Source organism: Homo sapiens, chromosome 18 (assembly GCF_000001405.40).
Source record: "Homo sapiens chromosome 18, GRCh38.p14 Primary Assembly".
Lineage (NCBI taxonomy): Eukaryota > Metazoa > Chordata > Mammalia > Primates > Hominidae > Homo > Homo sapiens.
The window spans coordinates 37,293,252-37,309,364 of record NC_000018.10 but is presented as its reverse complement, the minus strand read 5'-3'; the positions used below and the strand labels follow the sequence as shown (position 1 = coordinate 37,309,364).

Sequence of the window (16,113 nt, the reverse complement as noted above, 5' to 3'; positions counted from 1 at the left end):
ATTGGGTGAGGATCACTCCCATTTTATGGAGGGGAAAATGAGAGCTTGGAGAAGAGAGGTGACTTCCTCAACAACACATGGCTAGTAATCAGCCTTTGCACCTCTGTCTTTCTGGGCAGTCTTCCAAGCCTTGCTGTCCTCCCTCGGATCTGTGCTGGGGTGCTGACACCTAGAGGAAGTTCTTCCAGCATCAATACCAACCATCAGATCCATTAAGGATGAGGATGGGTCCTGCCTCAGTCTTCAGGCTGGGTTCTTTAGCTTCTCATGCCCCCACCCCACATACCCTTTGGCATGGGTGGGTAGTAGGGGTCCTCAGAGAGGGTCTGAGGCTGGACCTGCCCAGGTCAAAGCCCAGCCAGGTGTCCTCAAAGAGGGTCTGAAGCTGAACCTGCCCAGGTGCAAGCCCAGCCAGCAGCAGGATGAGCCTGTCTGTGCTATCTGAGTGTGGAGGGTCAGCTGGGAGGAGCAGGTAGAGAAACTCCATGTATGCCCAGGTTGAGAACCAACCTGACCAGGCATGGCCTTGTCTGTCTAGGGCCTGGCAATGACGAAGGCTTTGCAGAAATCTAGAGGTCAGCCGGGACCCTTATCGGGGAAAATCCATGATCCCAACGTCCTAGACACCAAATCCTGGCACTGGGTGACTGGCCTAGATGTCTTAGGAGGCTTGAGGCCTGCACATAAATGGCCAGTTGCAAATAACTTTAAACTTCGAGGGACAGTCCTTGCTCCTGGAGAGCTGATGGGCGATGACAGACAGATACATGGAGGAGATGTCTTCAAGCCTCCTCTGTGCTCTGGGCCCTAGAGAAGCTTACAGTCTGGGGGCAGGGAGATCAGCCGGCAGCATGCTGAGCATCCAATGAGTAGAGGAGACAGCACATCCTGCATGGCAGAGGGGTGGCCTGTGCCCGCTGGAGCAGTCAGGGAAGGGTCTCTGGAGGACAGTGTCTGCTGCAGGGGGTTCCAGGCTGAAAAGCTGCTGAGACCAGGAATGCAGAAGCCATGGCTTAAAGCCTGCCCAGGGCAAAAGGAGGAAACCAGTTGGCCAGAGAAGAGGTTTCAGGGAACGCCAGGCAAAGGAGTTTGGGGTGGGGAGGCAGTTCCAGAAGATGATGGGGAGTCTTCGATACCAGAGAGGGAGTTGGTGATTGACAGAAGCTGGACTTAGGAAGACAGGTCACCTGCAGGGATCACTGGAAAGGGAATTAGAGGGACCATCCAGAGACCAATGCAGCCTCCAGTCATGAGGGGTTGGGCAGGGGGCAGGAGAATTAGACTGTAGGTTCAGGAGCCCGTCATTGCTATGAAATGTATGCCCCAAAGCCATCCCTGCCCTGCCCAGGACCTGCTGCCTCCAGACCTCCAGGAACATGCATACTTTCAGGCGCATGTCTATCCTCAGAAAGTCATCTCTGACCCTTCCCACCTGCCCAGCTCCATGTTGTTGGTCAGAGCTTTCGTCACGGTACACCCCACTGCAATGCTTTGTCCAGCGGGTCCCTACTGGCCTTCCCAGCTCCAAACCCTTTCCCTGCCCTCTGTCTGAGCCTTTATGTCAGTTAACTCCTGTCTCTCACAGAGACTGTGCCCTCCTTGAGGGCAGCCAGGTCTGGCCTTCCACAGAACCTGGCTGGCCACCAGGCCCCACAGCCTCCTTGTGCTTGTACCATGAGGCCCATCTCTACGCAGACGTCCTCCCTACCTTCAGGCTCTCTGCTGGTCTAAAAGCAGCCCCCTCTGTCGTCTCCCCACCCCCCAGCCCACAGGCATGGGGTGGGCAGTGGGGCCGATGCCACTGACATTGGCATTCTCCTTGTGGCACATCTTAATAATTTAATGGCTATTAGCAGGGCCGCTGTGGTGGTGGGGGAGCGGGGGACGGGGGGAAGATTTATAGAGAGAATTCACTCCAGGTTGGGGTTTTGTCTTCCTCTGTTTTCCTGGCATTTATCATGCATGTTTTAATTTGGATCGGAGAGTTGCTACCATCTGGCCATTATCACAAAGAAATATTCATTTTCGCTGAGTGACACAGGCTCCATTCATCACAGAGCGTGCTGATTGCCCCACGACTGTGGGGCTGTGATTTCTCCTTCATTTGAAATGAACCTTGAGCTATGAGAAGGTCCAATTTGCCCAGAGCAGAGGCACAGGGCAGGTGGCTGCCACTGACCCTCACAGCCAGGTGGGCGGGGAGCACCCTGGGGGACAACCAGGCTGGGAGTGGAGTACAAGCCCCCTTCTGCCATCACAGCCACCTACCTTCCCTCACCGCTCCTGGGGAAGACTTGGTGGCCCCCTCTGTCTCACCCAAGCCTTCTGACAAGCAGCACTCCCACCTGCCCCCATGCCTAAAGTGGCCAGACCACAGAGGTGGCAAACGTGGCTCCTCTCCCCTCTCCCTGGGCCCCAGCATTTGAGAAATGAAGCGATGCTGTCCTGTCAAGTGCAGAATTTGCTTCGGCAATCTCGCCCTGACGGAGTATCACTGTAGCGGTGTCATTTCAGGTCAGAGCCGTGTTGGGGACAGAGGGCCCTCCCCATTCTCCTCTCCTTACGTTTTGGTGGCACCATCAGCGCTGGGCCCCATGGGAAGAAATGTGTCGGCCTCCAACTGGGACATTTCCTTTTATCCGCTCACCGCTCACCACGGCATGCCATCGGGGCCACTGAAGGGCTCTTGTCAGTGATTGGCCAGAGTCCAAGCACAAGGCTGGGACCCCCAGGCAGGGGCAGCACAGAGCACCTCTTGACTGGGCTAGGCCACACCCAAAGCCACTCAGTGAGCAGCCACCCGGCTCTGCCAAGCAGACAAAGGAGGAGAAAATCTCCTTTCACACATTTGAAGTTGGGAGTCAAAGCACTCTGAATTTGTTGGGCCCATTCTGTGTCCCCTGTCCTGGGGCAGAGGTAAGAAGTAAAAATCAACACATCCACAGCAAGTCACCCACGAGCCAGGTGGAGTCACTCACAGGCATGAAGACATCAGCAGAGCAGTGCCCCCGGCCCTAGCATTAGACACGCCAGGAGGGGAGTGACAGAGTCCAAGACGACTTCACAGGGCGCCTCTGCTTTGCCGGAAGGCAGATCTGGCAGGAGGGCTTCCATCTACAGAAGTCCCTCTGCCCCAGGGCTTGACAGTCAGTCCTCAGGGACTGCCTGACAGTCTCTGTCCTAGAAACTGTGGCCACATCCCAACCCTGAGGCCCTGGCCCCCCACCAGGACCCAGGTTTGCTCAAAACCCAGGGGGCTGCGCTGAGTCTAAGGGAAGGCCTGTGCGAGCTTTGATGCCTCTTCCCCATCAGGGCAGAAGCCCACTGGGTCCTGTCCTTCTGTCCAGTGCGCCAACTCAGCTGTAAGCAGAGTGGGTGCCCCATACCCCCTCCAATTCCCAGGCCAACGTGATTCTCGGCCTCAGGGTGTTTACAGTTGGTTGGAGCTGAGGGTAAAACCAAGGAAACAATTAGAAGAGAGGGACAGATGTAGAATCAAAGCACTAAGTTGACCATCAGTGAGGGCCATCAGGTTCAATACCAGACACCAACCTACCTTAGTAGCCCCCTGGAGTGGGCCAAGGCCTTCCTGTGGGTCAATGTGTTTCTTTTTCCCCCAGACCATGACTTAGGTATCACTGCTCCATTGTATAGATGAGGACACTGAGGCCCATGAGCTCACTTGCTGGGGTTACCAGCTGGTGGGTGGTGCACTTAGGAAGGAGCCCAGGCCCATCTGATTCTCAGGCCATCTGACTCCCAGCACCACCCCACTGTGGGTCTGGGAAAACCATGGGTGACTTTGTGTAGGAGTCAGCATTTCAACTGGAGGGGATAGCAGAGTACAGAGGCCAGCAGAGGCCGGGATGGGAGCTGTTACACTCTAGACAGAGGAACCTGCCTGCCTGTCCTACACCCTAGTTTTCTATCCCGGCACTTGCTGACCTAAATTAGCTGTCCACAGTCTGATCCTTCCTCCTCCCTTCCAGCAGACTGGGTGAGTCTCCACCGTGTTGTGGAATGTGGAGCGGAGACATTTGCTAAGAGGGACAAAGGAGGGTGCGCGGCGCCCCAAGCCCCCGCGAATGCTGGCACCACCCCTCCTCCTCTGAAACTCATTCAGTGACACCAGCAGCTCTGAAACATCTGCTCCTCCATCCCGGACCCGCAATTTGAATAAATTACCCCAACGTGGCGGCAGCCTGTTATTAATGGCTCGAGTTTTATAAGATGCTTTAGTTTAATAACACTGTAGCCCAGTGTTGCACTTCTCCCAGATATTTTTATATTTCACCCCTTCTCCTCCTCCTGTTCCCCTCCACGCTGTGGCCACCTCCAAGGCTCTGGTCCACATCCCCACCAGTCCCTTTGCCACCACCATCCCTGAGCCATGCTCCCCCACCTGGGAACCCTATTCCTGTGGAGGCCAATTGGGACCACTGCTGGCTCCTGTTTGGGACTTCCAGCCCCCACCTGCTCCCCCTCCCTTCTGGACCCTCAATTTTCTTTGTGGACAGCCTCCCTTTTGCGGAGAGCCACCCCAGGGCTGATGGAAGGGGCAGCACTGCTTAGTTGGGTGCTCCGCTTCTACTTCCCCCGAAAGGAAGCCCATAGTGGCAGGGCGGCTGAGGGCAGGGAGACACCACACAGTGCTGTCCCCAGGCCTGGTTCTGTTCTCCTCACCCCACCTCCAGAGCTCTGCTGAGCTGGGGGACCCAGCAGAAGCCTAAAAATGAACCTGCCTCTCCCCAGGTGGACTGGCAGTGGCCAAGGCTTGAAAGAAGCTGAAGCTCATTTCTTTATTCTTGGCTCTTTGTTCTTCATTCTTTGGTCGGTTTGTCCTTGAATTTATGCCCCACACACCTCCTGCATGAAGCCCTCCCAGGTTACCTCCACCCACTGCCCCACCATGGGCCTTTTGGCTGTTCCTACAATCCCAGCTATATCCCTTCCTCACTGCCCTCTGCAGTGTCTTCTCCCCATAGTCTGGAAGCCTGCTGTCTCATGGAACCCCCTGGGGCCTGGTCAGTGTCTCACCCATAGCCAGCCCTTCTAGAATATTTTGATTCTGATTAATAGCAGGTGCTCATGCATGTGTTTTCCGTGCATTGCTTCCACAAGCCTGTGTGAAGCATCTGTGTGGGCGATGCTTCCGGCAAAGAATGGATGCCTTCACTGAGGGAGAATGTGAGCCCAGGTTGCGTGGGTTTGTAAGTTGGGGATATAGGGTAGAAAATGGTGAGGTTCAGACAAATAGCCAGTGTATTCATGTCCCAGTCTGTTCAAAAAAATTCAGAGCACAACTGATGGGCAAGAAATGCCAAATGAAGGCTCCTTGCAACATTGGCCCTGGGTCAGGCAGTAGTGGGTACAGGCCTAGGCAGGTGTCTGGCACTTACCATGGGGCTGGGGCCCAGGGAAGCCTTCTCCTATGATGCTACCCCCAGGGACTTGTCTCCAGGAGGGGTTGGGATGCCTACGGCCAGGAGGGCCACAGAATGACAGTGTCTGGAAACAGAAGGAAAGGACATGGGGTGGGGTGGGGAGGAGGTAGAATGTCCCGTCAGACAGGAGGCCAGACCTGCCTCATCAGAGGGTCCTGTGAATCCCCCAAAGCCCACAAGGCTAGCCTGGGAGGGATTTTGGAGGACGCTTCCATGCCAGGGCCAAATTTAACTGTGTAGTTCCCTGTTCCTGGGGACCTGGAGAGCCAGCAGTGACCAAGACGTGGCTCTAAAAAGGAGGACGTGTTGCCTCCCTTTTTTTCTCCCCACCCGCCTCACCTCTGCCCAGCCTAGTTCTGAGGACTGCAGATCCAAGCTCTCCCCGATTCTCATTTGGTCTGATATTACTGTGGGGACTGCCTTTTGCTAAGAGCCCCACCATTATAACATAATTACTGCTGAAAATGACCTTTAAAATATACTTTAAATTCAAAATGTCTTTAAACCCTTCACTGAGCACCATTTTTCAATTTCAACGACTGTTTTCCTTTTTGTGGGGAAGTGAAGGGTGGGGAGTGGAGGAAGGAGACCTCTGCCAGGATTTCAAATATTAATCTCTCCCTGTTGCAGAGCAAGCTTTGCAGGGGGCCTGGGTAGGTGGGAGGAGGGAACAGAGCCAAATCCCCTTAGCCCTCAATGCCTGTGGGCTCTGGGCCTCCCAGGGGCCACGGCTCTGCTGCACTTCTGTCATGCCTCTAGCCAGAGCAAGCCTTCACCCAGGGGGTTCAAATGAGCCAAAGGAAGTGCTGAGAACAATGGTACTTTCATGCCTGTTCCTTCTCCTCTCTTCCACCATCTTTGCTTCATTCTTTCTCCCCTCCTACAGTGTTCAGTTCCCTGCTTGCTAAGCACCCTCCAGGGGCCCCCAGTTTCTGCAGGAGATGGAGCCCCCTTCCCACTCTCCTCTCCCACCCCTCCTCTGTGCCTGGCCTAGCTGTGCACCCTGTCCCTCAGACAGCCTGTGCTCCTGGCTGCTCCTGACCACTCTGAAGGAAAAAGTGGACTAGGAAGCAATGCTGTTGGAGGGAGCTGTTGCAACCAGCCAGCCTGCCTGCTCCCCGCACCACCCTCTGCCTCCTGAAAGCTCACCCTGCTGGTCTGGGAGAAAGTCTGACTTTCAGAACACACCACACACCCTAATAAAGCTTCAGGCTCACATTCTCCATCCCCTGCAGCACCCAGGAAACTCTGCTGTGCCTCCCACCTGGAAGCCTGGGGAGGCGTCAATCCTCACCCATCCATTTCCCTCCCTCCACCTCCCCACCTCCAGGAAAGCTGTGTTTTCCAGTGTCATCCCAGCGTCTTCAGATGTGGTCACTGATGTGCATCCTCCCTCATAGGTGTCCTCATGTCTGTCTTCCCTTTGTGCAGCTTGTGCCCTCATCAGAAGGGGCTCCCAGGGGCCATGTTGCTGGCTGATGTTGGGGGCGATAATTCCCATCCAATAAGAGGGGTGCCTGCCCCAATGATCAGGGGACAGAGGCAGTGTGAGGCCTTCTGGCCACTTAAAGGAAGCACTTTAGGGGCTCAAGTTGTGTGGATACAGACAGGAATTCTATTCTCCCCACACACTGGGGCTTAGCCAACTCCAGCAGCAGGAGAGGATAGGAGAAGGGGAGGGGAGGGGCTCTGATGAGGTGGGGCATTGGACAGGTAACTCCATCCACCTGTGCCAGGAAGGGGTGGCCGGTGGGCATTCTGGACAGTTCTTCCAGTGTATTCTTGGGAGTTTTATTAATACGGCCCAAATTCCCATAAGCATCCAACTTGTTCGCTGTGAAAGTCAACATATATTCCAAAGCCAACCAAAGTGGTTTGCATGCTGTTCAACCCTTTGGATGGCCTGAGTTTTTCGATGTTCCCCAGTTTTGAATGACACCTGCCCAGAGCAGGCGGGAGGTCTGGACAGTGGTGGTGAGGCCAGTAGAGCAGGGGGAAGGGGAAAGGTGGGTGGCATGGCATGCCATGCCAGAGACCTACCTGCTCCGTGGACAGGAACTTTCCCACACTGTGTCATATGTATTGTGTGGATAAGATCAATTAAGGGCTAGTGACTGAAATCACTTATGGTAGCAAAACAGCCACTCAATGAGCCATTAGCCGAGTGAGGCCTTCCGGCTCTTTAAAGGAGGTACCTTCAGAGCCTTCACGCTCCCAGCAGGGTCCAACAGAGAGCGGTGGTTCAGCCTGGGCTCCAGCTCTGAGCACCTCTGCATCTCCAGGCTCATGGAACCTGAGGAAGGGCAGCCCAGAGGAGGAGAACCCCCAACCTGGAGCAGGGCTGAGCTGGGAGGAAACACATGGTCCAGCCCCATGCCTGGCACGAGGCAGCCCCCAGTGCAATCAGATGGAGGGAGACACCTGTCCCTGGGACTTTGTGGTAGCTGTCCTGCTGGGGGAGGGCTACTTCTGGGGCTGCGGGGAGGCAGCCATCTTTGCCGGGTATGCTGGGCTGGACACTGAGCCATCACAGGGACCCATGCCCCCATCTCTGCCGTCTTTTAGTGTCCAGTCTGGCGGAGGATAGAAACAAGGAATCAGGCAGGGACAGGGGGCTGTGGCAGCACCTGCAGTGGCCTCTCAGTCTAGCTGAGGCAATAGGACCCACTGGGACCCCAGGCAGTCACACTGACATCCTCTCCAGCCCTCACCTCCCACATACACTCCACCAAGCTTGGCTGCTTTGGTGCCACAGTTTTGCTCATCTGAACTCTCCTCCATCCCTGCCCACTTGGAGTATCCTCTGTCTCCTGGACAACTGCCCCCTTCCTTTCTATCTGCCTGCCTCCTCCTGTGTCTCCTGCCCCACCACTGCATTCTCTACACAGTGGCCCAATCAGATGCTTTGGTCATCCTCACTTACATGGAAGTCCAAGCCTTTTACCACTCCCAGCCCTGCTGCCTTAGTGCCTGCCTGAATCTCTTGCTCCAGGCGCCTGGCCTCATGGCTGTTCCTCAAACTTACCTGCTCTGGGCCTTTGCACTAGCTGCTCCCTCTGCCAGGCACCCCCAGATGCCACTGCTGCTCACCCTGTCTCAGCTTCTGTGTCCCTCTACCCACGACCTGTCCTGACTTCCAACCTAATGCAGCCCCAGCTCCTCCATCTGCTTCCTTGTTTTATTTTATTCATGGCATATATCACTACCCTGATTGTTTCTTATTCATTATCCATCCCTTGTCACTTAGAGATGAGCTCCGTGCAGACAGGGACTCTTTGTTCCTCTCTGTATCTTGGCAATTTGCACAGTGCCCTGCCCAGAGCAGGAGCTCAGGAAATGAATGGCTGAATGCGCAGGACAGGGACCCACAGGGCAGTGCCATAAGAAAGTGCTGGAGGCCAGGAGCAGTGGCTCACACCTGTAATCCCAGCACTTTGGGAGGCCGAGGCGGGAGGATCACCTGAGGTCAGAAGTTCGAGACCAGCCTGGCCAATGTGGTGAAACCCTGTGTCTAATAAAAATACAAAAATTAGCCAAGTGCGGTGGCAGGTGCCTGTAATCCCAGCTACTCAGGAGGCTGAGGCAGGAGAATCGCTTGAGCCTGGGAGGTGGAGGTTGCAGTGAGCTGAGACCATGCCACTGCACTCCAGCCTGGCCAACAGAGCAAGACTCCGTATCAAAAAAAAAAAAAAGTGCTGGAGCATGGGATCAGATCACATGCAACAAGCAGGCACAAGGGAGTGTGGTGTGTTCAGTGAACACCTACAACAGCAGGGATTATGTGAATGGGGCCCCCAGGCCAGGTGTCCAGGGTCAGAAGTGAAGGCGGAAGACCCCACCTTTAAGGAACCTCAAGAAGCATGGGGTGGGGGCAGTTTCAGGTCTGCCTCATGGGCCAGGGAAGCTGGAGAAGGATTCCTGGAAGGGGAAGCTTGCAATGATCCAGAGAGCTGGAGGGTCTAGATGGTGGGGGTTGTGGCTCTGCACTCCAGGCCCTGGGACAACCTGACCAAGCTGGGGAGTATGGGCCCGGGAGCTCTGTTCAGCGTGGGAGAGATGGGGGTGGGGACCATGCTGGCTGGCTGGACCCTGGAGGGGGAAGGGAAAAAGCATGGGAGCACAGGGCAGGGAATGTGACTCACTCAGCCTGGCTGGCTTCCAGAAAACCCTGTGCAATCAGCCAGAGAAACACATTTGAGAAAACAGAATTGTGAGAGTAACTTTGAGGCTTTGGTTGCCATGGGAACATATCTGTAAATACTTAACTGCAAACATTAAGTGACACACAGGGAAGAGAGAGGCAGCAGTGCTCACGCCGCAGGAGACAGCCGAGCCCGCAGTGCCAGCCTCTCCTGGTTCTCACACCTTCCTCCTGGGGCCTCTGGCCTGGATCCCTTGTCCCTGTGAGCCCGACATTCTGAGTGGGAGGGTTCCACGTGGCCCAAGGCTCCCATCCTGTCCCAGTTCTGCCCGGCCCCCATACCAGGCCCCTGGGACCCTCACTCCCAGGAGCATCCCTGCCCAGAGGTGACTGGGCCCTGGCCATCCCTTTTTCCTCCCCTCACTTCTAAGGGATGGGCCAGTGAAACAACATATAAACAACATATAAATCAAGAAAATATTTGCAACAAGTAGGCTTAAGAGACACAAATGTCTTGCCTTCTGGAGCCCCCAGCCTAGCTCATGGTCTGAGGCTGGCCCCTGCTGCAGTGCCTCTTCTGGTCTGCCTCTGTTTAGTGCCCTCCCCCATGGTGCGGTGACTGAGTGGGGGCCTGGGAGGGAGTTCACCCCAGGAGCCCTCTCTGCCTGGCCCAGCATTGCCTGCTCGGATCCTGCCTACTTGCTCTTAGCCTTTCTGGGCCACAGATCCCTTTGGGGAACTGAAGCAGCATTTCATTCTTCCATTGAATTGTTCCACAGAAGGTTAGCAAGCACAGCCACCTGCCAGGCCCTATGCTAAGTGCTAGGTGACCGCTGCCCTACTGGGACTTACAAGCTAGGGAAGAGAGCAGAAAGTATGCTAGAACCCCAAAGGAAAGCCATGACTACAGCATGTTAGCAGTGTTCCTGGTCAGGACCGGGCCCCGCTTGGCTGGAGCGGAACTGGGAGTGAGGGGAGAGTAGCAGGAGAGAAGGGGAGGATCCTATCAGATCTTGTAGACTGTTGTTAAGACTGGATTTTTTTTTTTTTTTTTTGAGATAGAGTCTCACTCCGTCGCCCAGGCTGGAGTGCAATGGCGCAATCTCAGTTCACGGCAACATCTGCCTCCCAGGTTTAAGCGATTCTCCTGCCTCAGCCTCCGGAGTAGCTGGGAGGTGTGTGCCACCACACTCAGCTAATTTTTGTATTTTTAGTAGAGATGGGGTTTTGCCATGTTTCGCCATGTTGCCCAGGCTGGTCTCAAACTCCTGACCCCAAGTGATCCACCCACCTCGGCCTCCCAAAGTGCTGGGATTACAGGTGTGAGCCACCGCACCCAGCCAAAACTGGATTTTATTCAGAGTGGAACAGGGATCCACCAGGGGCCTTGAGTAGAGCAGTGACATGCACTGTCTCATTCTGACTGCTGTGTGGACACAGAGGACAGTCAGGAGGTCACTGCAGTCACACAGGAGAGGTGGACATGGCTGGGACCAGAGTGGTGGCTGTCATGGTGAGAAAAGCTATGATCCTTCTCCTTGGAAGAACCAGCATCTGCAGATCCTTGGGCCATTTTATACACACTCTCAAGATATTCCTGGGCCCCAAGGCTCAGCCATCACTCCTTCCTGCAGCCCTGGGTTGAGACCCCAGCCTCCTGGGCCTCTCACCCTAACTCTAGCAGACACCTTTAATCCTTAGCCCATTCGTGGAGCTGAGGCCAGCAGATCCCTTGAGCCCAGTGCAGACCACAGAAGGAGGACAGTTAATAGTAGAACTGTGCACCATTGGTGGCTGCGCCTCTGGCCAAGGGACTCCTGCTTCCCAAACACCCAACAGTCTCTGCTGAATGCCTGGAGAAGGCAGCCTGCTAACTTGACGGCCAGAGGGCACAGGGTCTGGCATCTGGGCCTTTGCATGGCCCAGGCCCCACCGATGAATCTCACAGAGATTACAACGAGCGAAAGAAGCCAGGCACAGACAACTAGATTAATGTACGAAGTTTTAGAACAGGCAGAACCAAAAAGTGGTGAAAGACGTTCAGAGCACTGGGTGCCTTTGAGGAACCTGCCTTTGGGGACCCTGCCTGGAAAGGGTCATGAGGGAACTTCTGGGGAAACGGAAATGCTCTATATCTTCACAGGGGTGTGGGTGTCCACATTTGTCAAAACTTATTACATTATATCCTTAGGATGTACGCATGTCACTGTTTGTAAATTTTATCTTAAACAAAAAATAGACCTAGAAAGGATGACATATCCCAGATAACGCTAGGAGAGTTTGCTGCCTAGGAGGACCTTTCCTCCTGGGGACAGTGGTCCCGCACCTTGTCAAGGGCTCTGAGCCAGCTGCTGCGGGAGGACCGTGCTCTGATGAGGAATGCATGTGAAAGCGTGAGAGGCTGACTGCTTGGATAAAGTGATCTTGCATTTTAAAAGAGAATTCTGAAGACAGCAATGCTTACCCCAAAGAGATGAGGCTCTAATGGTGGGATTCAAGGCCCCTTGGCAGATGGCAGGTAGTGGCCTCCCGGTGCCCTCGCCACCTGCTACATTTCACTGATAGCAGGTGATCTGCTTATAACTGTGATGGGCCAGGGAGAGGAAAGGGAGGGAAAGAAACCTTATACCCATTCCACCCCTTCCAGTGGCCTTTCCACTGGCCTCCCAGTTCACTGCACCCCCTGATGCCTAGCCTGGCCTTCAATCTCCCCTGCTCCCCTCTTCTCTCCCTGCTCGCTGTCAACATCTCCCTAGTTGATTTCTGGTTGTAGGCCTGAGCTGCTTGCCCAGTCTGGCCTCAGTCTGGTGTGTTCCTCACCTGGCCCAGTTAAGGCCTCTGGGTGGGAAAAGGCTGGAGTGGAGATTCTGCTCCCTGGTTTGGCCCTTGGGGGTGAAGGGGCGTCCTCCTGTTCACTGCTAACTTACCAGCCCCAGAACTGCCACCTAGCCGAGACTGACAGTTCAACAGCTTCCTTTAGGAAACAGGAGGACATAGAATGATGCTGGACCGTCAATGGGGCCCACAGTTAGGGCACTGGTGTGGGCTGGAGCAACAGGCAGGGCTGTTAGCGTTTCAAGATTGGGGAGGACTGCCATCAGCAGGGGAAGGGCAACAGAGCCAAACCAGGATGCCCACAAGTCCCAAGGTGCCAGGACAAGGCCGGAGTTGCATGTTGTCCTGGACTAATTATTAATAGTGTTCCCTTTCAAACCAATGAGGGTCCTGAGGGTCCTGGTTTGGGCAATAAATTATATGGTCACCCAACACATTAAAAACAAACCGGCCAGGCGCAGTGGCTCACACCTGTAATCCCAGTGCTTTGGTAGGCCAAGCCAGGTGGATTGCTTGAGCCCAAGAGGTCAAGGTCAGCCGGGGCAACATGGCAAAACCCTGTTTCTACAACAAGTACAAAAATTAGGCAGGCATGGTGGCATGCACCTGTAATGCCAGCTGTGGTCTCAGGAGGCTATAGTCTTTCTGTAACACCTGTAGTCTTAGGAAGCTGAGGTGGGAGGATGGCTTGAGCCTGGAAGGCAGAGGCTGCAGTAAGCCATGAAAGTGCCACTGCACTCCAGCCTGGGTGACAGGGCCAGACCCTGTCTCAAAATAAAATATGAAACAAACAAGCCAAAAAGATAGTTGAATGGCCAAGCCAAGAGGCAGGGATGCCTATGGGTGTGCCAAGTCACTGGAATGAGGATTTTTGTGGGGGACAAGGAGAAAGGAAGGAGATAGCAGAGAGGAAGGGGACAGGGCTGAGGGTCTCTGCACATGCCGAGGACTTCAGAGCTCCTCACAGAGCTCCTCTCCAGCTGAGTGGGATGCACCAATCTCACACTACCACATCTGCAAGAGAAAGCGAAGACCCACACAAGTGACACCATTGGGCACAGGTCACACAGCCTGCTGATGAACCCAGGCCCTGACCCCCAGTGCAGTTCCTCTTCCTCTCGCCGCCAATGCTGGAAAGATCAACTCTAGGTTTCACCTGGGTGCCTCCCTTCGGATGCTGTATGTTGGAGACTCCCCATGCCCACACCAGGATTTCGAATGGGGATGTGAAGTACAGATCATATTCTACCCATTACTAACTGTTTGATTGTAGGTGAACTTCTTAACCTCTTTATGTGCCTCCATTTCCTCCTCTGTAAAGTAGCAATAACAATAATATTATTTCTGATGACTGGTGCATTGCAAGAGTTCCAAAAATAGAAGTTGTCTTCTTCCCAGATGCCTCCCTGCCTCCAGCATGCTCTGAGCCCTCTTGGCATGGAGTGGTCTCTGACCTGGGCCAGTATGTTTAGACTCATCACCACTTGACACAGATCTACTGCTGCTGAATTCAAGGATAATTTATGTCTCATTTCAAAAACAAACCCCTTATCTACCTGCCACCCATAATCCTTTCAGCTTGTTAGCCACACCATCCCAATCTGGATTCAAGATCTGCCAAACCTGGGCTTCTCAGGCATCAGCCAGGCCTTTGGCACCAGTGACCACTGGATGACATCTTTGAGGAAAACAATAAGAGGAAAAGGGGACGTTTGCAGCCCTCCTCATTCATTCGGGCAGGGGCAGGGATCTGGGACAAGCCAAGCCAGCATCCAGGAGAGGCCCAGGGACTGGTGCTTTCAGGGCGCCCCCTCCTGGAGGAAGGTGAGGCACAGCTTGGGGAAATGCCTCCTCCCTGCTTTCAAGTCAGAGCCCCAGAGACAGAAAGAGAATTGCAGTTCACCTACATGGTCCAGAAAGACAAACAACACATTGCATGTCTTCCTGCCCGAGACCCATCAATTCTATCTACTTGAAAAGCAGACTATAAACTAGCGGAAAACAGAGAAGTTTACCTTCTGCATTTCTTCCATCTTCTCTAGCAAAGAGGCTGGTCTTCAGGATGGGAAATGTTGATAAATGTCATAAAAAGAGAATTAATATCCAAACAAGTCAAGGAGATCAAATCTGGCCCCATAAATTAGGTTGTATTTCTAGGACAGAGCAAATTGAGCCATGGCCTCAGGTGGACAAATGAAACGGGTATTCCACTGACAGAGCTGCTGCAGGTCACTTGAGACACTGTGGAGACAAGAAATGGACAAAGGTCCAAGTTTTTAAAAGGTGAAGAGGCTGGATTCTAAAAATTAGCAGGCTGGCGATCTTGAAGACAATTTTGGCTAAGTTCTAGAATAAATTCATCAAACTGATGGCTTGAGAGCATTTGGGGGAAAATGATGGTGACTTAGGAACCACAGTGGTTCACCAGGGTGAGCCAGAGCAAGGAAGCTGGGTGTCTGTGTTGGTAAGTGGGTGACCCATGCATAGGAGCAGGGCCTAAGCTGGCATCTTGTCACCTACTCGGGGCAGATGGCAAAGTTGCCCAGAGTAACTCAGAGCTGGCTGGACAGAAAGGGAGGTTCCTGGTGACATCTATGGCCATGGCCCTTGTCTCTGGTACCCTCCTGTTGAACATTTTTATCAAGAACTTCTCAAAGGTGGGAGACATAGAAGCTGATTTTAAAATGTGCTGATGACCTGAAACTGGTCCGGAGGATGAGATGAAGGGTAATACATTCAAAATCCAAAGACATCTCCCCAGCAAAGTTCTCATTCTAGACACAGAACCGTGGGAGTCCCCCAGCCTGCCCCCACCCTCACCCGTGCCACAGTGGAAGTACAGATATTCAACAGCTTCCCTTCTAAAGCCCCAGAATCTGCACTCCTTTTGGGATGGGGGGTATTGGAAGATTTCTGGAAACTTTGTGAAATTGTTTATCTGGAAGTTGTCAGTCAGGTGGTTGGTGGGTCAGGTGGTTGGCTATTTGGTTTGCTAGTTGGTTGGTTTTAGTGATCCCTTCCTCCCTGACCCCCATATGTTTGATGTGGTAAAGAGATAAGCACACTTTGGGGTGCCAGGCTCTTTTGAGAATCTGATGGAAGCTCTGAATCTATTCTCCAGGAGAAATAGCCATAGACATGAATTGGTGCTGACCATTTCGAAGACTTCACAGTCCCCTCTAGCCCATCAGATAACCTCTTAGGATACCATAGATTTCTAATAGCCAGTCCCTGCTAGGCGACTCACCTGGAAGTCATTGCACCTCAGCATGACTTGGCCTGTCCCTTCCTTCCTGCAGGAATAAGGACAGTGATCTCACAGCCTACAGTGTCTGGAGTGGGTTAAGTAGTCTTCTCCCCAAATTTGCATCCACCCAGAACCTGTGAACATGGCCTTATTTGGAAATAGGGTATTTGCAAATGTAATCAAGTTAAAATGAGGTCATACTGGATTCATACTGGCCCTAAATCCAATATGATTGGCATCCTTAGAAGAGGAAAGAAATTTAGACACAGACACAGAACATACAGAGAGAGCACCACGTAGGGATAGAATCAGAGACTGGAGTGACGCAGCTACAACTAAAGAAAGCCAAGAATTGCTGGGAAACACCAGAAGCTAGGAAGGGGCAAGGAAAGAACCCCACTGGAGACTTTAGAGATAATGTGGCCCTGTCCAAACCTTGATTTCTG

The 16,113-nt window shown here is 53.6% G+C and overlaps 1 protein-coding gene across 125 annotated transcripts in view, besides 1 other annotated feature; it reads left to right on the top strand.

Moving 5' to 3' along the window:
* The window catches only part of CELF4 (CUGBP Elav-like family member 4), a 322,955-nt gene that overhangs the window by 256,434 nt on the left and 50,408 nt on the right, over positions 1 to 16,113 (top strand). The gene's annotated exons all lie outside the window — the stretch shown is intronic.
* Positions 2,776 to 3,357: an enhancer, noted in NCBI's record as "H3K4me1 hESC enhancer chr18:34885971-34886552 (GRCh37/hg19 assembly coordinates)". NCBI's record gives its function as "activates a minimal SCP1, AML or CMV promoter by ChIP-STARR-seq in primed H9 embryonic stem cells {active_cell/tissue: H9 hESC(primed)}" and the evidence as "EXISTENCE:reporter gene assay evidence [ECO:0000049][PMID:30033119]".